This window comes from Homo sapiens, chromosome 14 (assembly GCF_000001405.40).
Source record: "Homo sapiens chromosome 14, GRCh38.p14 Primary Assembly".
NCBI classification, from domain to species: Eukaryota; Metazoa; Chordata; class Mammalia; order Primates; family Hominidae; genus Homo; species Homo sapiens.
This window is the reverse complement of record NC_000014.9, coordinates 61,457,711-61,479,904: the sequence shown is the minus strand read 5'-3', so window position 1 is coordinate 61,479,904 and position 22,194 is coordinate 61,457,711. Positions and strand designations below refer to the sequence as shown.

Below are 22,194 nucleotides of genomic sequence, written 5' to 3'. Positions count from 1 at the left end.
GCAACTCAGAAATCCCTTTGTCCCACACCTGGTGTGAGTTACAGGTGTGGGAGGCAGAGGAGCTGCTGCCTGGTGATAATAGAATTCCTGTCGTCACTTGCTCTGATGCCACTGACCTGCTGCAGTCTGGGTCCACTCTCTGCCCTGGCTATCAGTTCAGAACTATTCCTTCCCCAGGCCCAAGGGGCTAAAAATATCCCCCGAATAATGGCTGTCAGTATAAGTAAGGTGCATTCCCTAAGGCCCCCTCATTAAGGGCTGTTCGATAGGAGTTAAAGCTGATGGGCAATTTGTATGAACAAGAGACATAACATCCGGGTGGATGAAAGTGCTATGCCAGGATGGTACCAGTGACAAGATGATACTAACTAAGGAAAGTGACTGGAGAGCGAGCATGGACCAGGCAGGGCAAGATCCTGTAAGGTCACTGGGGCAAACATCTTTGGAGGCATCTGCTCAGCTCATGGTGATCCCTTCCTCAGCATTTACCCATGCTCCAGCCTGGCCGCATGGGTAAACGCTCAGCATCTGTGCACAGCCAGTTAGATCAAGCTGCACCTGCTCAGAGTCTCTTTTCCAGAAAACTGAAACTGAGGTAAAAAGCTTTTAATTTAGTCTAGGCTGTGTGCAGGAACTGAGGAAACATGAGTTAGGAAACGGAAACTGCTTTTGCAGTGTAAACGTGGGAAATGCCTGGGTATAAGAGAGTGGAGAAAGACTGGGTGGGTGGATGGACAGGTGGGTGGGTGAAGGAGAAGAATGAAGCAGAAACATAGAGTGAGGCAGAGACAAGAGATCAGGGAGGGTGAGTGAGCCAAGAGCAAAACTGCCAGGGTTCCTCATGTCTTTCTGGTTTCAGATCAGCCGAGAGAGCTGGCCAACTCCTGCCCTTGGGTTGCATGAGACATCCGTTGTACCTCTGAATCTTTATTTTTAGTTCTTTTTTTTGCATAGCCTTAAGAAAGTTTTCTTACTACCTGAAGTAAATTTTCTGCTACCAGGAGAATTTCAGCTAAAATACACACAATTTTTGTTTTTCTTTTTGAGACAGGGTCTTGCTCTGTCACCCAGGCTGGAGGGCAGTGGCAGGATCATGGCTCACTGCAGCGCTGAACTTCTGGGCTTAAGTGATCCTTCCAACCTCAGCCTCCTGTGCGGCTGGGACCACAGGTTTGTGCCACCACATCTGGCTAATTTTTTGTATAGACTGGGTATCTTTGTGTTGCACAGGCTGGTCTTGAACTCCTAGGCTCAAGCAATCCTACCTCGGCCTCCCAAAGTGCTGGGATTACAGGCGTGAGCAACCATGCATGGCACACACACCCATTTTTAAGGGGTAAGAAGTTTCCTTATTTATTTATAAATCTGGGATAATAACATCTATAACTACAGTGATCATGTAAAGATTAAACCAGAAGCCAAGTGCCTCATACAGTGCCAAGCCCAGAAAAGAATCTCAATCAATAGAAGCTATTGGTACCACTACATTATATAAAGAGGAGATTTTGTGCCCAGTGCCCAAGTCCCTGGTATGACTAAGAGGAAGCCCAGGGCAGTGGCGACACCTGGGCTCTGGGCCAGGATGCTTGAGGTCCAAGAGCAACTCCTGCTGTGCTGTATTTAGCTTCTCTCTCACAAAACTCACTTCTGCAAAATGGGGATAATAAGACAACCCAACTCACAGGTTTGTGAGGATTAAATGATTTAAGCTAAGGGCTTTGAATAGTGTCTGGCATACCATAAGTGAAATGCTCAAGAAATGTTAGCAACTATTATTATCCTCATCATCATGAGTGCATCCACTGCAGCTTCAGCCGCCATGGCCGTCTGCTCCCAGGGCTCCAAAGGGCCTGATGCATGAGGCATAGGAAGGCCCCTTGGCTGTGGCTGTGGCACACGTGGCAGTGAGCTGCATGCACTGGGTCTCGAGGCCTCCTTCACAGACCTCCAAGACTGGCGGAGGTACACACACACTCACAAGTGGACAGGAATGAAACAGCAGCCGAAACAGCAACTGCAGCAGCTCCCCCAACCCTCAGTGTGGGACAAGGGTATAGAGGGTCGAAGGAGGTGGAAGGAGTCCTAGCCCAGCTGTTGGGACACAGGGATGTTTCCCGATGCTATATGGTAATGGCCTTGACCGGGTAAGGACTTTTCTTTCTGGGAAATGCTTGCTAAGCAAGGGGTTACAAAACTAGATTTGATAACCAAAACATACTAACAAAGGTTTCAGTTCTGATAAGTTTTCTAACACTGACTGGTAATTCATATTTTCTATTTTAGGGGCTTTATAATAATTATTATTGCAAAACAAATGCCCTCCTTATGTACTAAAAACATATTACTGTAAGCGAGACTTTTTATAGCAGTTATTCTTCCTTTCTATAAAGTTGATTCAATCTCAGAACCAGATTGCAAAGATTTGTCTCCATTTAAAGAAAAAATCTGTTGTCTCTATGATTTAAAGACTGCATTTGAAGATGTATCATTCCAGAAACCAAGGCAGTAGGAAATAGCCACCATACTCAGAATTATAGTGAGGATGCAGATTACCTTTTGGAAATAATTCAAAGATAGACATAACACGTAAAAGTTATGAAAAATGTAGCTATTGCTTTAAGGCAATGTTAAGCTGGGAGCCACATCTATTCTTACTTACCCAAGTTCTAAGAACTGCCTTGGAGTATTTCTACATGAATAACAAGCTCATGCTGTATGAAAAGCTGCAGAGTGCTATTGACGGCTGGGGGAAAGGAGAAGGAAATCTCCGTAACAGATAGCAGTGTTGAACTTCTCCTAAGTACCGTTGCTTTATTATTTTTCTCAGACAAAGTCATCTACAGGGTGAGCAGGGAGTTCAAATAAACAGGAAACAGTTACTGACGTCAAAGAGGTCACAGTGGAAAAGCACCCGCATGAGGAAATCTGATTGCACCATGTCTGAACTGGAAATAACTTGAATTTAACCACATTAAGAAAGATTACAAAGGCTTCAAGGAAGAAACAATGAGAAGGAGTCTAATGGCTGCATTTTTTTTTTGAACTTATCATTTTGCACAGCCCAGAAGATGTCAGAGGTTAATTCAATCACCCAGCAACCCCTGTGTCAAGCCCACAGGCAAGATACATCCTGTCTGAGCTGAGACTAGTCTTTGGGAAGGTGAAATATGTCCTGAATATAACAAAGCCTTAGGACTTTGCATTTCAAACCTAGAGGGACACACAGCTCTTTTCAAAGACCAAGTGTTTTCCTAGTAATCTGGATGCATTATAGCCATCTCTCATAATGAAACCTGACAAGGCTTACTGGCATATATACAGTAGACCAGGGAAACAAAGAGGAAATCTACCTTGCAGTTTAACACACTGTGAAACATCCAGGCCAGGATGTTCTTTAAAGCATAAATAAGTGGTAACATATGATCAGGGGTACAGCAGAGTCAGAGCACAAGTCCCCTCTTCCTGATGGAACCTCCTTTGGCATTTCTGGTCCACATACAGCTTTCCAGTATCATTGTGTAGGGCTGGGATGGATCTGTGCACTTGGTCTTCTTTTCCATGGGGGACCGGAAACCCTTGAAGGCAGAGCCCAGATACTAAGTGAGATATCTTTAATAGCACCAAGCACAGTGCCTGGCCAATTGTGAGGGTTAATAAATGCTTCAAGAGTGAACATAATAGGAACCATTTTTGTCTCCTGGTAAAATTTAAAATGGAACTTTAGAAGAGCTGGAACAAACTGCCAAGATTCGTTTCACCCAACCATTTTACAGAAGCAAAGGGCAAAGAAGTGAAGTACCTTGCCCATAGTTAAAACAGTTTGTGGAAGAGTTAAGTAGGACAATCAGGTCTGCTGATGCTATATTTTCCTTTATAAAGCTTTGATTTTTCTATTTATAAAACTAATTACATATCCATAGTTCAAATGTAATTACAAAGTAAATAGATAGAAAATTGAGAAGAAAATAAAGAAAATTCAAATAAAATCACCCTAATCCTGACAACCAGATATAGAAGTCTCAAGCTTTTAGCTTCCAAAGAACTGGAGATTTCAGGGCAAATAAGAAGTTTTCAAGGTAATGTTAACTAGATTTAATTTTTCCTTTGTGTCCTAATTATACTTAACATTTTATAGCATGTTTTAAAAACAGAAAGGAAAAAGTAAAAAACATACACTTCTCTTTTCATTTATATTGCATATTATTTCCTGATATAATTAGTCATCAAGACCATGATTTTTTTAACAGTTGCATGCTATTCCCGATGCCAGTTCTATGAAGTCCTACAATTAGCTTGACTTCTAATTAGGTTAATGAAAATAAAAGGACACAGCTTTTATAGTCTCTATGCCATGATAAAGATCATTTTTTTAGCCTGGTAAAGCAGGCATCTCTCAGTGGAGATGATTGCTAACTGGGCACGGTGTTTTAATTGATTGGTCAATCATTTAGACATCACTAACCTTTAGAGCACCCCCTAGTGGTCGAGAAGAACGTTTGAACAAACCTCCTAGTCAAAAACTATCCACATTTGAAATACACTAAAACTTAAGAGTCACAAAGAAGATATCTTGGATGATTATCTACTTTTTAAAAAAGGTTTAGCAACTTAACAAAAGCATCCACAATAGGATTTCTTCAAGTCATTATTTCACATAGTGAAATTCTCTTTATAAAGCTTTTGGTTTAAGCATCAAATAGGATATTTATGGACTTAGTTTGTATAGGGCTTGTAGGATAAAGAGTAAAAATACCATTTCATTTATTTAGATCATTTTTCATGATGGAGATCCCTAAACTGTGTAAACTTTTAAGACAACCACAATTTCATTTCTCCCTCTGATCTATGTATGAATTCGACACTTATGCCATGTGGGAAGATATTTTGGGTTATAGTTGATTAGACACTTTGCCCAGTTAGAGAAGTAGAGACTATGGCCAAGAATATGCCATATCTGCCTCAAGGTGATGCCTGGGAATCTACTGGCTGAGAATTCATTTCCTCTCCCCCTGTCTGCAGTGCTGATGCACGGGCCGAAGTTTCTGTGTGGAATGTGCCTTTCACATGCTATTCTGAGTTTGATTCCTCCACTGTAGCCATGACAAACTCTTCTCTGGTCCTCTGGCTGGGGAACAAAATCTGTTCAAGCAAATGACATGCCCACAATTTCTTCCCAAACTATTAAAAAATTTTTTTAAAATTATACTTTAAGTTCTAGGGTACATGTGCACAACGTGCAGGTTTGTTACATAGGTATATATGTGCCATGTTGGTTTGCTGTACCCATCAACTCGTCATTTACATTAGGTATTTCTCCTAATGCTATCCCTCCCCCAGCCCCCCATCCCCTGCCAGGCCCCAGTGTGTGATGTTTCCCACCCTGTGTCCATGTGTTCAACTCCCACCTATGAGTGAGAACATGCAGTGTTCCCAAACCATTTTTGCAATCTGGGTTACATATTGATCTCCACTGTCAATTAAGGAAGAAAGTTGCAGACCTTACTCTAAAGGTATGGAGGCTAAATTAAAAGAGGTGGAGCTCTAACAGGAAGGGGAACAGTCATCAGAAACAGCTTAAAAGGTTTATATGGGAGAAAGCACATTGTGTTAACTTTGAAGGCAAGCTTCAGTTGGCTAAGTGGAGTTCAGACAGGTTCTTAAAACCCCAAAAATGAGCAGATCCTAAGATGGTGACACCAAGAACCTCATGCCGTATCCAATAGAACTCTGAGTCTGTTAGTGAACTGACTTCATCTCAGCACTTGATTTATCCTACTATGAAACCACTTCCTTCTGATTCTTCTTCTTTTTTCCACTCAACCTTAACCCTTACTTAGAATTCCTTCTTCAAGTCTCCTCTCTTCTCTCTCTATAAACATCTACTAAAAGATTTTTGATTTTTTTTTTTTTTAAGACAGAGTCTCGCTCTGTTGCCCAGGCTGGAGTGCAATGGCGTGATCTTGGTTCACTGCAACCTTTGCCTCCCGGGTGCAAGCGATTCTCCCTGCCTCAACCTCCTGAGTAGCTGGGATTACAGGTGCGTGCCACCATGCCCGGCTAATTTTTGTATTTTTAGTAGAGACAGGGTTTTGCCATGTTGGCCAGGCTGGTCTCGAACTCCTGACCTCAGGTGATCCACTCACCTTGGCCTCCCAAAGTGCTGGGATTACAGGTGTGAGCCACTGCACCTGGCCTGAAAGATTTTATATTATAGTTTCCACTTACCAAGAGGACATGGATGACACCAAACTGATCTCCCATCTCAAGTGTGTTTCTGACAAACAAGCATCTTACCACTGAATTTCCCCCAAACCGAACTCATGCTATTCCATTCTCTTTAGGCTTCCAAATGGCCAGAGCCCTGGCCATTCCCACTTAAAAAGTCCTATCATGTCTACTTCTTTAGTGTTTCCTTGACTCCACTCCCATGATTGCTGCCTTGGGGCAGGCAAGTTCCCAGATCACGGGCCCAGCATCCTCACCAGATCTGCTGCCATTAGCCTCCCTCTGTACATAGCAGCCAGAGAGAGCCTTCTAACATGCAAATCTTATGTTACTCCCTCACTTAAAGATTTTGCTGGCTCCTTTTACCTAAACAGTTTAGTCTAAGCTCCTCAGCAAAGGACATCAGACCCATTATGACTTTGCTTCTTCATCACCACCCCCCTACCCCCGCCGCCAACCACCACCATTTCCCTTCTTACAAATCTGCCTCATCTAGTCATTTGGGGTTTCCTGGGCACATCCTGCAATTTTAAGCCTCTGTGCCTTTGCACTGCTGTTACCTCTGTCTGGGAGTCTATGCCCTCCTCTTGTGACTATAAGATCCCTATTCATCTTCAAAACACAGCTCACACAGCCCCTCCTCTGGGAAGTCCTTCCAACCTCCACGAGGATCAATCATGACTTTCTTCTCTCCATCACATGGTGTTATCATGACCTTTGACTGTAAGCAATTAAAAGGCAGGTCCACATTTTGTTCTTGTGTCTTCATCCCTGGCACATAATGCATGCTCCATAAACATTTACAGAATTGAATTTAAAATGCAAGATAAGTACACTAATACCATTCATTATATTACAGAAACAGGTAATGTCTCTTTTGGCTAGGGTCTACTTTCAATATTTAGAGACTATTCAGCCTTAAGATAGCATTTAAGGTTCTACTTTTTGTTTTGTTGTTTTTTTTGTGTGTGGGTTTTTAAAAAATTGAGACAGGAGTCTCACTTTGTCATCCAGGCTGGAATGCAGTGGTGCAGTCCCAGTTCGCTAATGCAGCCTCAACCTCCCGGGCTCAAGCAATCCTCTGGTAAGGTATCCACATTTCAAGTTGAAATGGCATTTCCATGTATGGGAAACAAAAGAAAAAAAGCCAGCAAGTGGCTCTCCCTCAAAGCCCAATCATATTGCTATCAGCACGTTTTCCCATGCTGGTTGGGAAACATTTTGCAAAACTCTGATTATCTGTTTGTACAATCCAACCACATGTACCACACACAGGATGGGAATCTGACTCACAAAGTTCAGGTTTGGGAGGATGCTTTTCATAAAATGCCACTGACTCAATGCCTTGCTGGTAAAGTGAAAGTGTAATTATTAAATGCTAAAACAAGACAAGCTGCAGTATTTGTACTGCTTGCTTTTTAAAAATAACCCATTTTAGATATATGCTCAGTCAGCTAATCTTTTGCTCCCTGGATGCCCCCAGGCTCTGATAATAATGCCTTATCGAGCAGCAGGCTTCACTGTTGAGAGCTGCCAGCAGCATGCCAGCCCTCACTCACATTAAACAGACGCTGCACGCTTCCGCTGTCTCCCCCGAGCTCAGGGGCTCCATCCCTAACAATGCCACTGTCAGTGCAGGCACCAACAGCTGTAATGAGCCCCCAACAGGAACTTTGCCTTTCTACAAACTCAGAAAAAAAATAACGCTTATATTTTCATAAAGAAGGTCTGACACATTTGGCTTTGGCTTCTATAAAAAGAAAAGTGATCGTCTAACCCATTTGACTTTTCATACCAAAGACAATCACCTGACAGTCATGTAAGGGAGCCAGGGGAGATTCTTCCCCCCTGGGAACCAATGTCTGGCGATATGTTTGGTTGTTATAACTGGAGAGGTGCTGCTGGTATTTTGGGATGCTGCTAAACATCCACAATGAACAGGACAGCCCCCACCCCCAACAAAGTAGGCAAATGGCACTGCATTATGCAAATCAGTGATTTTTTTTTTAATTGTAAAGGATGAAAGCTTACCAGCCACTAGATTATTAAAACAACCTGACCTGTTGGTGAGGGTCAAGAAGGTGACGGCAAAGTTCTGAGCAATGTGGAAGGGTACTTTTTTTTTTTAAGTCACTTACAACTGGTGATAAAGATCATTTTTTTTAGCCCGGTAAAGCAGACAGCTCTGAGTGGCGATGATGGCTAACTGGGCATGGTGTTTTAATTGCGATTGGCCAGAGATGTGTCCTGAAGCCCAAATAAGAGGCACAAATCAAGTGAATGAGCAGATCCTGTATCTATGAGCTTCCAGAAGAGAAAACAGAAACCAGTCTTACCACTGAATGTCCCCAAAACTGAACTCATGCCATTCCATTCTCTCCAGGCTTCAAACCGGCCAGAACCCTGGCCACTCCTCTTTAAAAAGTCCTATCAGGTGTACCTCCTTAGTGTTTCCTTGACCCCACTCCCATGATTGCTGCCTTGGGGCAGGCAGGTCCATGGGCCACTGGCCCTCACCAGATCTGCTGCTATTAGCCTCCTTCTATAGACAGCAGACAGAGAGGAGCTATGACATATTTGTTCCCTATTTTTCTTGATTGTGTCCAACTCATCTTGAACTGCCTTTCACCACTGGTAGATATGATTGTAGAAGGTCTGGGCTGGCTGCAGGGATAGGTTAGTTTCCACTTCGCATGCCCTCAGAGAAAACCGTGGAGTCTGTGGCTCGGTGGTCCCTGGGGAGTGAGGAGCCAGAAGAACAAGGAAGCTGACTGACAAACACATCCCAGGATTCACTGCACAGCGACGGAAAAACGTGTATGGAGAGGAGGGAAGAATTTGGCTAGCAGGGATCTCCTCTTTTGTTTTGGTTGGGAGTTATATATTACATCATTTTAATGTTTAGAACGTCATATACCACAAGAATGGAATTAAGAGATTCTGGGAAGAGTTCCAGGACTCCCATTTGTAACACCTAAGCCATAAGTCATTCAAGACCAGAAGTGGGCAGGAGTGAGCTAAAAAATACAGGCTCTTTTGCTATAACTAAGAATTGGAAGCCTCCCACAGAAAGGAAACAGGAACTCCCTGGGTGGCCCCAAAGAAAAGACAGGGCATGCCAAAGCCCTCCAGCAAAAAAGGGGAGGGTCTGCTGGCGAGCCTGAGCCAAACTATTAGCTTACGGGGAAGGAAGGAAAAAGAACCTTGTAAAGAAAGAGTCAGTCGCTCTTGATAGCACATGGGTTAATACAGGGATGGAGACGGGAGGTAGACAGGGCGTCCTCACAGCCTGATGCAGGGGCTGCCAGTGAACAGACTAGTCTTGCCAGCGGGATGAGAAAGATCGTGCAAGTGGCAACGGGAGCAAATGCAGCCTACTGGGGCTGCTACTCTTGCCATTCTGCCTCTTGCTTTAAACCTCCCAACCCCTATAATAGTGACCCAGAACCCACCACTAACCAGAGACAGTACCAAGGACCAAGGACTCGAGCTACGCCTCCCCCCAGTAATCTCACTGCATCCTACAAAAAATATAACGGAGCACTTGATATGCAAATGCAGCTTCAGACAAGCCCCCCAGACTCTTCAAGCAGATGACGGCTCTGAGCCTGTCTGAAAGGAAAATCCAGGAATTGCCACAGGGAGCAGCTGCCATGGAGGGTCACCAGCTGAGACTATAAGATGAACAATCTGTTCATGAGCTTCAGGCTTATAAGCTTCCCAAAGAATGTCAGTTTCATGAGGGCAGGGACTCTTTTCTGTTTTGCTCACTGCTGCGTCCTCAAGGCTTGAAGGCGAGCCCTATGCCTTGCAAGCACTCAGTGCATATCTGCTGAATGAATGAACACCTTCCCCCCTAACCTGCCAGTGCACAACTCTCTACACGACGAGTCTGCTAACTTTATGTTGACATGGCTGTTTCTGCTCATGAGATGCTGTGGATAATTCCGGACCTAGAAGAGATGGATGCAGCTGGGTTCTCAGCAGAGATTAAGTAATTAAGGAAAACCCAAGTTATTTAAAAACTAGAACATATTACAGGGTATGATTTTGATCCAAAGCAGTCAGGTTTTTAGACTGTATGATTTTGTCTTCAGGGTGGGGTGGCAGCCCCTTGGCAGCCGCTTCAGGTCCTACCTGGCAGTCCCAGCTCATCACAGCAGGACTCAACCCAGCTTCCTAGGGAACCATCTGCAGCCCACACCCGAGGGGCTGCTTAAAGCAATCAGTTGGCTTTAGTCTCACAGCCAATCAGGTTGTACTTCTGAGCACAGACTGGCACATACTTAAGAGTTTCCCCTAGAACCCAATGTTCATTTTCAACTACCTTTCCTTTTGTAGCATAAGGACTATATTTACTACATGCTATCTACTGTACACTTTTCTTCCATGTGTATTGGTCTTCTCTTCCTAATTAGAATGAGTTTTTAAAAAACTGTTTCTAGCCAGGCACGGTGGCTCATGCCTGTAATCCTAATACTTTGGGAGGCCAAGGCAGTAGGATTGCTTGAGGTCAGGAGTTCAAGACCAGTGTGGGCAACATAGCAAGACCTCCAACTCTGCAAAAAATGAAAACAAATAAAAGAACTGTTTCTTTTGCCTAGCATTCAGTCAGTGGGATCCTGGATTGACTGATTTTTCACTAAACCACCTGGCAGAACACCCATCTCATTTTCACCTTTTGAGCAGTCCTGGCACTTGGTGTTTCAATACAGGGCCCTACTGAAGCCAGAGTATCTATAACTTGGCAGGCTTTAAGGGTTCCAAGTTGGGTCCAGGAAAACCATAACCAAGCAATCATCACCCCAAAAGCTTTCAGTCATCATGAGACACAGGGGCAAAGTGTGACCTGGGTTGTGTTCTGGTTACATCAAAGATTTAAATTATACTATCTTAGCAGACATGGAGGTGGCGGTCTACTCAGTCTCTAGGTTGTCAGTGATAATGATGGCTACCAAAAACAAGACCAGTTACAACAGAACAACCTCAAACTGAAAAAAACAGGCCAACTATTTCAAATCCTTTTGTCACACCAAATATCTTGGCAGTCGCGTCCAAAGAGACAGAGCCAAAGACACAGCTTGAACTTCAGGTTCTCTTATTCCTATTCATTTTTGTGGCCCTATTTAGCTACAGAAGGTCAGAAAGCCTGGTAGCCGGAGAGGACAGAAGCAAAGGTCCCAAATAATCCCCCAAAAATCCAGATCCTGGAGAAGGCCTATGCACATTTTGTCTTCAGAGAATCTTCAGCAGAGAAGGAGGCGGGTCCAACATATGTTGGCCCCAAAGTCAGATCCTGTCTTACTATGGAAATAAATCCACAATTAATAACCTAAAAAAAAGATGGAACACTATGAATAAGGTAGGAACATGCAGAGACAGGAAACACCATGTTCTGGCTCATTTTCTATTTTGATCTGAGCCAAAGGCAAACTGCAACAAATGACCCGCAGCAAACCAGATTGTATTTGTAGCAGCCACTGCTCAGGGAAAGGGGGAAACCTGGTTCCAAACAGATCAGAGGAAATATCCTTAGGTATTTCCCAAAAGGCCAAAAACCACCTATTGTGGAAAACTGCCTCTATTCCCGTCTAATGACAGTATTCTCAGTTGTACATATTAGAGACTCAAAACTTCTATTTGTGATATAATGGAAATGGCTTGTATATTATTTGGCAGGACAGTCAGGTCAGGAATCCATGCACTGACTCTGGCTTACTGTGTGATCTGGGGCAAGTTGTTTAATTTCTCTGGATCTCAGTTTCTAGGCCTTTAAAATGAGGATGATACTCTTCCCTGGATGCTTTGGGTATTAAATGAGATATTTTGTTCAATGGATATTTACGGAATGCCAATGTGCAGTTTAGTTTCATAGACATTGGTAATGAATATGAGCACCTAGGACATATGCTAGGGTCTCATGAACTGCCCTTTCCTTCTTCGCTCATCCCCTCCTGCAAAGTGGGCACCATTCAGTCCCCAGGAATCAACCAACTACCCCAAGGCATGAACAGAGGCTTCTTCAGAATTCCCATGCCTGTAAAGGGGAAAGTCTCCCAGCCTTTCGGCTATACTTCCCCTTCTCCTTGTCTAACCCTCTGTCACAGGGCCTCTTCCCCTTGCGCTGGGTGTCACAGCAACACAGAGCACAAGCAGTAATGCCACTGTAGGGTCTGAGCATGCCTTCTCCTCCCCACATCCAGCGGCTGGCAGGGGCTCAGCCAAATGCTCAGTGAGGCCTCAGGAAGGGAAAGGGGAGCTGGAGGCGCTGGGAAGCATCAGAGCTGGACAGGGCAGGCTGCAGCCCCGCTACGACCCCACATGTTGAAGCCAGCTGGAGGGGCACTCCCTAAAGGTACGTTGGCCAACAGGTCCAGAAGTAAGGAACACACATTTAGGTGGAGAGGCTTATCTCAAAATAAAAGGCAGGGGAACTTCTTAAAGACAAGTGGGCCAGCTAAGCCAGAATTAGAACTCAGAGCTCTTGTGCTGAAGGTCACAGTGCAGTTCCCTGCCTGGGAAAATTCTGAAAGATGAATTCCAGGGCCACATGACTACCTTGCTGCCTGGCTGCTCTCTGCCTCTCCCACTTCTTCGCTAATATTTAATACAACAACAATGGAGAAAGTAATACAAAGGAAAGAATGTTCCTTTGCACTCAAGCTGCAGGTACACTGAGCACACGTGAGATCATTTTGTGCCAGCATGTATGCAGCGATGGCATTTATTTCACAAGATTCCAAGATATTCTGACCTTCAAAAACCAGGATTTCAACTTTGTTGGCCATTTGAGAAGTGGTTTCTTACGGAAAGCTATGGTCCTGCCAGGAACTCCATCCTTGCAGGCTGACATCGTAAAGACGCCCCAGCAGGCAGAGGAGCGGGAGGAGGCAAAAGCGACCGGCATCGGAGCGTCCTGTGGCCCACCTGAAAGCGGTGGATCCTAAACTCAAACTTAAGGCATTCCCAAAACAATGAGGAGTACTTCGCTCAGCCCTCTCACCCAGTCCCAGGGCCTGCTAGTGAGAGGCTGTTTCGGGCACTGGCCACAAGTGTCTTCTGTTTTCCAAATGGAAACCTTTGCTTCCATAAACTGGGTCTCCGAACAAAGCCTCAGACCAATATTTACTTTGCTGCTCCCCCTTCCTGTGATAGCCCCCCTCCATCCCTCACCCCCTAGTCTTTGTTCCTCTCTCTCCAGGAGGAGAACCGAAGGGGAGGCCCCTGCGAGCCGGGGATGGGGGATGGGAGGCCTGGATTCCAGCACATCCATGCCAGGGACTCAGCTGCTGACACAACCCTCACTGATTCAGATAAAAGGAGTGTGATGTGAATTTCGCCATAAATGAGTCAGGGAGACAGCATGTACTAGGCCGTATCCCAGGTTCTGAGAGACCAGGGGTCTGGTCCCTGACTTAATAATGGCTTATTCCTCCTACCCCCATTGTTGAAGAAATGTAATCCTATTACCAAATTTGGTAAATAGGAAAAAAATCCTTCATAATTCCACTACCTTAATCCAGTCCCTGATAGCTTACTGGCATAATTTCCTGGCAGTCTTTTTTGAGGCTGGGGAGGGGAACGGGTCTGCCAATTCACTATCTTGGGCAGAACCTGACTTGGATACAGACTGTTCATCATCATAACCTCTGTATTATTTCCTGGATTCTAACCTCCTATTTTTACCATTTTCTGTGATAGATTTTAGGCAAATGACTTAACTGCTCAGTGTCTCACTTTTCCATTTGACATAATGAGGATAATAATTGCACCTATCTTATAAGGCTGTTATAGGAATCACGTGCAATAAACAATACATGTTAGGTGCTTACGACGGTACCTGACAATTTAACTACGTAACATAAAATTATCTCTTGACTGGCTGAAAATTCTCATCAAATAGTATATTATTGAAGTGTACCCCCATTGCTAAATGCTGAAGTTGTTTCTAATATTTTCCTACTATAAATAATGCACGACATCAAAGCAATCTTGACCAAAAAGAACAAAGCTGGAGGCATTATACTACCTGATTTCAAAATCTACTACAAAGCTACAGTAATCAAAACATTATGGTACTGGCATAAAAACAGATATATAGACCAATGGGACAGAATACAGAGCTCAGAAATAAATCCACACCTTTACAATCAATTAATTATCAACAAAGATCCCAAGGACACACAACAAAGAAAGGACTGTCCCTTCAATAAATGGTGTTGAAAAAACTGGATATCTACATGCAGAAGAATAAAAACAGACCCTCATCTCACGTCACATAAAAAAATCACTGAAAAATGGACTAAAGACTTAAATGTAAGACCTAAAACTGTAAAATTACCAAATGATGACTTAGGGGAAGAAATCTGTGACACAGGCATAGGCAATGGCTTTTTAAAATATGACCGTAAAAGCACAGGCAACAAAAGCAAAAATAGACAAATGGAACTATATCAAACTAAAAAGCTTCTGCAAAGTTTCTGCAATCAACAGAGTGAAGAGACAACCTGTGGAATGGGAGAAAATATTTGTAAAACACATATCTGGATAAGGAGTTAATATCCAAATACAGAGGAAACTCAAACAACTTAATAGTAAGAAACAACCCAATTTTAAAATGGTTAATGGACCTGAATAGACATTTCTCAAAAGAAGACATACAAATGGCCAACAGGTGGTGGGAATGTAAATTAGTTCAACCATTGTGGAAAACCATGTGGCGACTCCTCAAGGATCTAGAACCAGAAATACCATTTGACCCAGCAATCCCATTACTGGGTATATACCCAAAGGATTAATAAATCATTCTACTATAAAGACACATGCACATGTATGTTTATTGCAGCACTATTTACAATACCAAAGACTTGGAACCAACACAAATGCCCATCAATGACAGACTGGATAAAGAAAATGTAGCACATATACACCATGGAATACTATGCAGCCATAAAAAAGAATGAGCTCATGTCCTTTGCAGGGACATGGATGAAGCTGGAAACCATCATTCTCAGCAAACTAACACAGGAACAGAAAATCAAACACCACATGTTCTCACTCATAAGTTGAACAATGAGAACACAGGGAGGGGAACATCACATGCCAGAGCCTGTTGGGTGGGAGGGCAAGGGCAAGGAGAGCATTAGGACAAATACCTAATGCATTCGGGGCTTAAAACCTGGATGACCAGTTGATAGGTGCAGCAGACCACCATGGCACATGTACACCTATGTAACAAACCTGCAAGTTCAGCACATGTATCCCAGAACTTAAAGTAAAAATAAATGAAAAGTAAAAAAAAAAACAAAACAAAACCACACACACAAATGGCCAACAGGTATAGAAAAAATGCTCAATATCACTAATCATTGGGGATATGCAGATTAAAACCACAATGAGATATTATGTCATACCTGTCAGAACAGCTATTATTGAAAAGATGAAAAATAACAGGTGTTGAAGAGGATGTGGAGAAAAGGGAACCCTTGTACACTGTTGGTGGGAATGTAAATTAGTATACTCATTTGGAAAACGGTATGGAGGCTCCTCAAAAAATTAAAATAGAACTACCATATGCTCCAGCAATTCCAATACTGGATATACATCCAAAGAAAATGAAATCAGCATGTCGAAAAGATGCCTGCACTCTCATGTTCACTGCAGCATTACTCACAATAGCCAAGATATGGAATCAACCTAAGTGTTCACCAGTGGATGAATGGACAAAGAAACAACGGAATATATACACAATAGAATACTGTTCAGCTTTTAAAAAGAAAGACATCCTGTCATTTGCAACATGGATCAACCTGGAGGACATTGTATTATTTGAAATAAGCCAGTCACAGAAAGACAAATGCAGCTTAATCTCACTGATATGTGTAATCAAATAAAGCCAAACTCATAGAAACAGAATAGAATAGTGGTTACCAGAGGCTGGAGGATTAGAGAGATGTTGACCAAAAAAATATATATAAACAAAGCACTGAAAATTAAACATCTTTATGAATAACATTTTATTCTTTATATTATTTTTGTAGTCCAGATTATCAGAAAAACAGATCCAGGAGTATACATTTTGTGAGTTTTAGTACAGGTTATCAAATTAGTCACAAACTATTAGGATTTGCAGTGCTATCAGAAACAGATAAGGATGCCCATTTATATACTTGTAAGCAGTGTATATGATTATAAAAAAAAAGGGGAAATAATCTATGGGTTCATAAACCTTTGTAGCAATCTTGATAAATTATCAAATATTTGAAATTTGCTTACTATTTCCTTTTTGCCAAGAACAAAAGGACCTATAAAATACTTACCTTCTCAATGTTTGCTGTCCCCTCCATGTGGGTGTCTGGGCTGGCCATTGGGAAGCCCTGGGACATTTTTCCTTTGGTGTGAGGATGGAGGGGGTCATCACCACAGTTGAACTGACTCACTTTTGAACAGCACTTCGCACTGTACAAAATATTCTGCATTCTCTCATTTGACCCTCACAGCGATCCTGTTTTCATTTTAATGATAAGAACTTTAAGGGTCAAAGGAATTTTAGGACAGACTCAAGCCATTTAGATGGTGGAAAACAAAGCTAAAACACAGTTCAGGTTTTCTGTTCCCAAGGGCAATGCCATTTCCATATTGTCAGGTTGGAGGGGAGCCAAGACAGATAGGAGGTGCTTAAGCCGAGGCTGAATCAACCAACTAAATGCGGAATAAGACAACATATGGAGTCAGAGTCAGCCTGACCTAAACTTGAACTTTGTCTCTGCCACTTACAATCTAAGGGATCCTCGGCTAGTTACTGCCCTGCTCTGGGCTTCAGAGAGACTGATTCCACAGGGCTGCATGAGGAGAGTGCTGTTTTTACAAAGGCCCTCACAATGAAATGCTTTGCAGGTAGAGTGGCTCCAACACCCCCTCTCACTCCTAAATTCTCCAGGGGAGACTGTCACAGTTCAGCATTACACACTGATTAGCATCTTACTTGAGAAGCCAGGGCCTGCAACACTGGGCAGCTAAAAAGTAAGCATCTTTCTGCTGTAACTTCTCATAGCAAGTAACACTTTCTGTTCTTTATAGTTAGTTTTCCAACAGTAAATGGGGATAGTTTTACAACAGTAAATAAGGACTTCCAACAGACGAATGCACAGCGAGCAAATGCTATGTGTACTGTGGAGTCCGATACCTTGCAAACCTCAAAGAAGGCAACAACGACAGCAAAACTAAAATTGTATACCTCTATCTCAGCATTAGAAAATCTCCTTTGCTGCTTTTTTTTCTTTTCTTTTTTGAGAAAAAGTCGTGCTCTGTCACCCAGGTTGGAGTGCAATGGCACGATCTTGGCTCACTGCAACCTCTGCCTCCCGGGTTCCAGCGATCCTCCTGTCTCAGCCTCTGGAGTAGGTGGAATTGCAGGCATGCACCACCACACCAAGCTACTTTTTGTATTTTTAGTAGACGGGGTTTCACCACGTTGGCCAGGCTGGTCTCAAACACTTAGGCTCAAGTGATTGCCCCACCTCGGCCTCCCAAAGTGCTGCCTGCGCCCAGCCTCACTTGCTTCTTTGAAGTGGGTTCCCACTACTTCTTTATCATTTAGCCTAAAGCAGGGGTACATTCCCTTTATCCTTTGCTTTGGAGACATCTACTACAACACACACATCTTAAACCGCAATGGCAGTTCCATGCCTTTGGTTTCTCTGGTGGAGAAATAAAAGTAACTTTGCGGTAATGACTGCCACCTTGTGGTCAAACATAAAACTTCCACTAGGAAAAATAGACTTCAATGCTAGTAAAGGCTTCACCCACTAAACACTGGGAATCTCATGTGGCCGCTAAAATTTTGGTATACTGTAGAATTTATACATTTTCCTGGAACATTTTGATTGCATATGCTATATTGATTGGGTTCCCAATCTGTTCCAGGTTACTTCCTCATTTTACTCTACCATAACATGATCTGTTGATGAGATCTTTGCTTATAATCACCAGAATTTCCTTTTACAGATCAAATTCCCCTGTTAGGTATGAGATACTTCTTTCTTTGCTTCAGCAGTAGTAACTTGGAACCATTGCTGCTGCAAGACCAGGTAAGCTCACTAAATATCAGTTGACTGCTTGACTCAAAGGTTACCACCTGGTGAAGATGATCTAACCTCATGTCATAGGAAACCATGTGATGTTTGGCTCAGGCCCTAGGAAGAAGATCTGAGAGGTCACCTGGCTCTGCGGCTTGACTCATGGTGTTCATGGTGGTGTTCAGGAGGCTGGCGCTTGAAACCCCGGCGGGCAACCAGTATCAGCTACCAGCTATCCCTCTCAAGCCTCAAGCTGTAACTCCACTCCTCTATTCCAAGAAAAGAGCCCAACAAGGGGGTGAGGGCAGGGGAGGGGCTTTACGTTGGCAAAGTGCCCAGCCAAGGAAGTCGTTTCAAGGCTACTCCAGGGAGCAGTGTGGGGCAGGGAGAACTGGAGCTCCAGGGGAACCAAGGACCAATCCAGCAGAGGGAAAGCAGAGGATGGGGGCAGGAGCAGCATGGGCTCCAGGGCCATCAAGAGCCACTGAGGACCAATGAGGAGCAGAGGGGAAGGGAGAGGCGCGCAGGGGAGCCGAGGCCCACGAAGCCATTAGCTGCCTCCCCATTTTTTTTTCTCTTGATAACGCTGGGGTGGCGTGGGAGTCCAAGCCATGTATCTCCTTCAGTGCGTCCTGTCACCAAGCTCCCAGACTTCTCTGCTCCACCCATTCTCCAGGCTGCATGTGGCCCTCCCAACACAGATTTGAATACTAGTGACCCTGAAATGTATGAAAACGCCCAGCTTCACTCACAGTTAGAGGAATGCAAGTTGGAACTTCAAATATACCATTTTTCTAACTCTGAGATGATCCAAATGACAGAGAGCATGCCATGATGGGAAGGCGGGGAAATGCACCTTCTCACTCAAGCTTTGGGAGTGTGAATTTAGAGACGCAGCCCAGCAAATAGGAAGAGCCTGCCTGGACTCTGCCGTCAGACCACCTGGCTTCAAACGCTCTCTGCCACTTAGGAACTAAGCTTCTTTGTACCTAACTTTTCTCCTCTGTGAAATGGGGTGATAATAACAGAACTTATTTCAGAGGGTTACTATAAGGATTAAATAACAGACATAAAGCACTTAGAACAATGTGTGGTACATGGACAATAAAACGTTCACTATCTTTAACCACAATGGGGGAGGGGGCAATTGAACTCAATCAAAATGTGAAATGCATATACCCTTTGACCAAGCAATACTACTACTAATAATGTGTCATACAGAAACACCAGCATAAGCACACAAAGACAAAAGTACAAGGGGACTCACTGCAACAATGACTGAAATAAAAGACTAGGAACACAATACATAGCAACAGAGGAGGAAAAGTTAAATTAATTATGTCATGTTCTAAAATGGAGTACTATGCAGCCATTAAAAATGAGGCAGCTTGGTATATAGAAATACAAAACAATTTCCAATATATACTATTAATATTATGTCTTAAAAAAATAAAGTGGCCAGGTACAGTGGCTCACGCCTGTAATCCCAGAACTTTGAGTGACTGAGGTGGGTGGATTGCTTTAGCCCAGGAGTTTGAGACCAGCCTGGGAAACATGGCAAAACCCCATCTCTACAAAAAAATAACAAAAATTAGCCAGGTGTGGTGGCATGTGCCTGTAAGTCCCAGTTTCTCAGGGGGCTGAGGTGGGAGGATAGCTTTAGCCTGGGAGCTTGAGGCTGCAGTGAGCCATAACCGTCACTGCACTCCAGCCTGGTGACAAAGTGAGACCCTGTCTCAAAAAATAGATTAATTAAATTTTAAAAATACAGAATCATGGGCAAAGTATACTATTATTTGTGTTTTTAAAAGATAAACATGTATGCATATATGTGCTGTATATATATGCTTTTATGTACAGAAAATTCTCTCAAAGGCTATAAATAAAACGAGCAATACTTGTTTCTTTCGGAGAAAGGATATGAATATTTGGAGGATACTTATATTACCTATCGCAAGAAATTAGATTTTCATAATTAAAACATACAACCTGATACGTCATTCCTCTGCTTCCACTTCTTCCATGACTTTCCATTGCTCTCAGGACTAAACCCAAACCCCTTAACACAGCCTACAAGGCTCTTCATGGCCTGGCCCTGGCCCACCTCGGCTGCCTCAGTTCTCAAGGCCCCTGTTCAACCTCGATATGCTGTGTGTGCTGAGCCTCCTTCACACCTGATGCTCTGTCTCACCAGCAGACCCATAGTGTGCTGTTGACCCTGTATGACATATTCACCTTCATTCTCTGCCTAACTAATTCTAATTCACTCGTTTGGTCCCAGCATGGCTTTACCTTCCCTAGAGGTGTATTGCCAGCCTCCCTGACCAGTCAGATGCCCCTATCCCGCTCTCGTGGAATCCCCTACTTCCTTGATGGTGGCACAGGCCAGGAACATGCCCAGAATTCACTCTCCCAGAATGCCTTTTGACAGCAAGATTCTGACACATCTGTGGCAGACCCTCCCTCTTGGTGCCTTCTCCAGGGCCATTTTCCCTCTTCATTGATACCAAAAGCCCAATTTTGAGCCTGATTCTAAATAAAAGCAGAATGCCCTGCTCCAGGGGCTGAATCAAGGTTGGTGTGAACCAATCATGGTCTGCCAGCTTATCTTGGCCTGATATTTGCTCTTCCAGCCTCCCTTGCTAAGGGCATGATATGGTTTGGCTGTGTGTCCCCACCCAGATCTCATGTTGAATTGGAATCTCTAATGTTGGGGAAGGGCCTGGTGGGAGGTGATTGGATCATGAGGCAGATTTCCCCCCTTGATCTTCTCATGATAGTGAGCTCTCATGAGATCTGGCTGTTTGAAAGTGTGTAGCTTTTCCCCCTTCACTCTCTCTCTCTCCTGCTGTCACGTGAAACCCTGCTTGCTTCTCCTTCACCCTTCCGCTATGACTGTAAGTTTCTTGAGGCCTCCCCAGCCATGCCTCCTGTACGGCCTGTGGAACTGTGAGTCAATTAAACATTTTTTCTTCATAAATTACCCCGTCTCAGGTAGTTCTTTGTAGCAATGTGAGAACAGACATACAGGGCAGTTGACCCAAGTCTAGGAAAGATCTTCCCTCCCTGAGAAAAGGGGACTGGCCATGAAGCCCTTCAGCCCCTGCCCTTATGCTTTCTGCTTTGGATGCTATCATGCCAAGGTGTGGCATCTAGGGCTGCAGCAAATACCTTGGGACCCCAAGGGAAAGACATGTCCAATGTCACTGAGCAACAAATCCAACCGTAGCACTGTTACCACCAGACTTCTCATTATGTGAAACAACAAGTAAAAAGTTTGTACTAATGAACCAAACTCATCCTTTCTATTTATTGTTTAATCCACCGCTGGTCAAGTGTTCCATTAACTGCAGCCAGAAGCATTCCTAAACGCACGCCATTACAGGGCAGACAGATTCAATTCTTAAGACCAGTCCATGGTTTCAGGCAAAGGGTCGTTGCTAAGGCCAGAAGCAATGCCCTGGGATGTTCCAAATCAAGGTACCTCTCTGGGTCCTCTCAGACCCCTCTTCTAAACTCCTGTGCCCAGGTCAGAACCAGCCCAGCATTTAGGAGCAGAGTCACAGCCAAATTCATCAAGACAATGAGCCCATGGCATTTTCTCTGTTCTTAGACTGCTGTAACTTTCATTCACCTTCACTTCACCTACAGAAGATTTATGTATGATGACCTTTTCAATCCTGGGACACACAACCCTCACGGTGCTCCTTCCCCAGGACAGCACAAGGGGAAGGGGTGAATTCATAAGCTTCCATTTTTCCTCCAGAGGTTGGCAGAAGTCACCAATACCTCCATATGACCCTGCCTTGGGAGCCCATCCCCCAAAATTTCTGATACTCAACTTTATGAAATCTCCAGTATCTTACTGTCTCAGCTCTGTAAGAAAAGAGGC

The 22,194-nt window shown here is 43.7% G+C and overlaps 1 protein-coding gene across 8 annotated transcripts in view, besides 11 other annotated features; it reads right to left on the bottom strand.

Annotated features, from left to right (window-relative positions):
* Nucleotides 1–22,194, bottom strand: part of PRKCH (protein kinase C eta) — a 363,509-nt gene that overhangs the window by 71,072 nt on the left and 270,243 nt on the right. The gene's annotated exons all lie outside the window — the stretch shown is intronic.
* Nucleotides 181–350: an enhancer, noted in NCBI's record as "experimental_34735 CRE fragment used in MPRA reporter constructs". NCBI's record gives its function as "activates a minimal promoter by MPRAs in K562 erythroleukemia cells, with activity observed for both the introgressed and non-introgressed 14:61946358 variant alleles {active_cell/tissue: K562}" and the evidence as "EXISTENCE:reporter gene assay evidence [ECO:0000049][PMID:34662402]".
* Nucleotides 948–1,117: an enhancer, noted in NCBI's record as "experimental_34726 CRE fragment used in MPRA reporter constructs". NCBI's record gives its function as "activates a minimal promoter by MPRAs in K562 erythroleukemia cells, with activity observed for both the introgressed and non-introgressed 14:61945591 or rs75455100 variant alleles {active_cell/tissue: K562}" and the evidence as "EXISTENCE:reporter gene assay evidence [ECO:0000049][PMID:34662402]".
* Nucleotide 1,032: a transcriptional cis regulatory region, noted in NCBI's record as "Neanderthal adaptively introgressed variant 14:61945591 (GRCh37/hg19 assembly coordinates) or rs75455100 in the experimental_34726 CRE". NCBI's record gives its function as "modulates activity of the experimental_34726 enhancer by MPRAs in K562 erythroleukemia cells {active_cell/tissue: K562}" and the evidence as "EXISTENCE:reporter gene assay evidence [ECO:0000049][PMID:34662402]".
* Nucleotides 2,195–2,254: an enhancer, noted in NCBI's record as "active region_8495". NCBI's record gives its function as "activates an Ori minimal core promoter by ATAC-STARR-seq in GM12878 lymphoblastoid cells {active_cell/tissue: GM12878}" and the evidence as "EXISTENCE:reporter gene assay evidence [ECO:0000049][PMID:35858748]".
* Nucleotides 2,888–2,967: an enhancer, noted in NCBI's record as "active region_8494". NCBI's record gives its function as "activates an Ori minimal core promoter by ATAC-STARR-seq in GM12878 lymphoblastoid cells {active_cell/tissue: GM12878}" and the evidence as "EXISTENCE:reporter gene assay evidence [ECO:0000049][PMID:35858748]".
* Nucleotides 3,078–3,177: an enhancer, noted in NCBI's record as "active region_8493". NCBI's record gives its function as "activates an Ori minimal core promoter by ATAC-STARR-seq in GM12878 lymphoblastoid cells {active_cell/tissue: GM12878}" and the evidence as "EXISTENCE:reporter gene assay evidence [ECO:0000049][PMID:35858748]".
* Nucleotides 12,905–13,821: an enhancer, noted in NCBI's record as "OCT4-NANOG-H3K27ac hESC enhancer chr14:61932802-61933718 (GRCh37/hg19 assembly coordinates)". NCBI's record gives its function as "activates a minimal SCP1, AML or CMV promoter by ChIP-STARR-seq in primed H9 embryonic stem cells {active_cell/tissue: H9 hESC(primed)}" and the evidence as "EXISTENCE:reporter gene assay evidence [ECO:0000049][PMID:30033119]".
* Nucleotides 18,260–18,554: a silencer, noted in NCBI's record as "tiled region #10871; K562 Repressive non-DNase unmatched - State 7:EnhWF". NCBI's record gives its function as "represses a minimal TATA promoter and a strong SV40 promoter by Sharpr-MPRA in K562 cells {active_cell/tissue: K562}" and the evidence as "EXISTENCE:reporter gene assay evidence [ECO:0000049][PMID:27701403]".
* Nucleotides 21,804–21,973: an enhancer, noted in NCBI's record as "experimental_34700 CRE fragment used in MPRA reporter constructs". NCBI's record gives its function as "activates a minimal promoter by MPRAs in K562 erythroleukemia cells, with activity observed for both the introgressed and non-introgressed 14:61924735 variant alleles {active_cell/tissue: K562}" and the evidence as "EXISTENCE:reporter gene assay evidence [ECO:0000049][PMID:34662402]".
* Nucleotides 21,804–22,004: a biological region, named in NCBI's record as "Neanderthal introgressed variant-containing enhancers experimental_34693 and experimental_34700".
* Nucleotides 21,835–22,004: an enhancer, noted in NCBI's record as "experimental_34693 CRE fragment used in MPRA reporter constructs". NCBI's record gives its function as "activates a minimal promoter by MPRAs in K562 erythroleukemia cells, with activity observed for the introgressed 14:61924704 variant allele {active_cell/tissue: K562}" and the evidence as "EXISTENCE:reporter gene assay evidence [ECO:0000049][PMID:34662402]".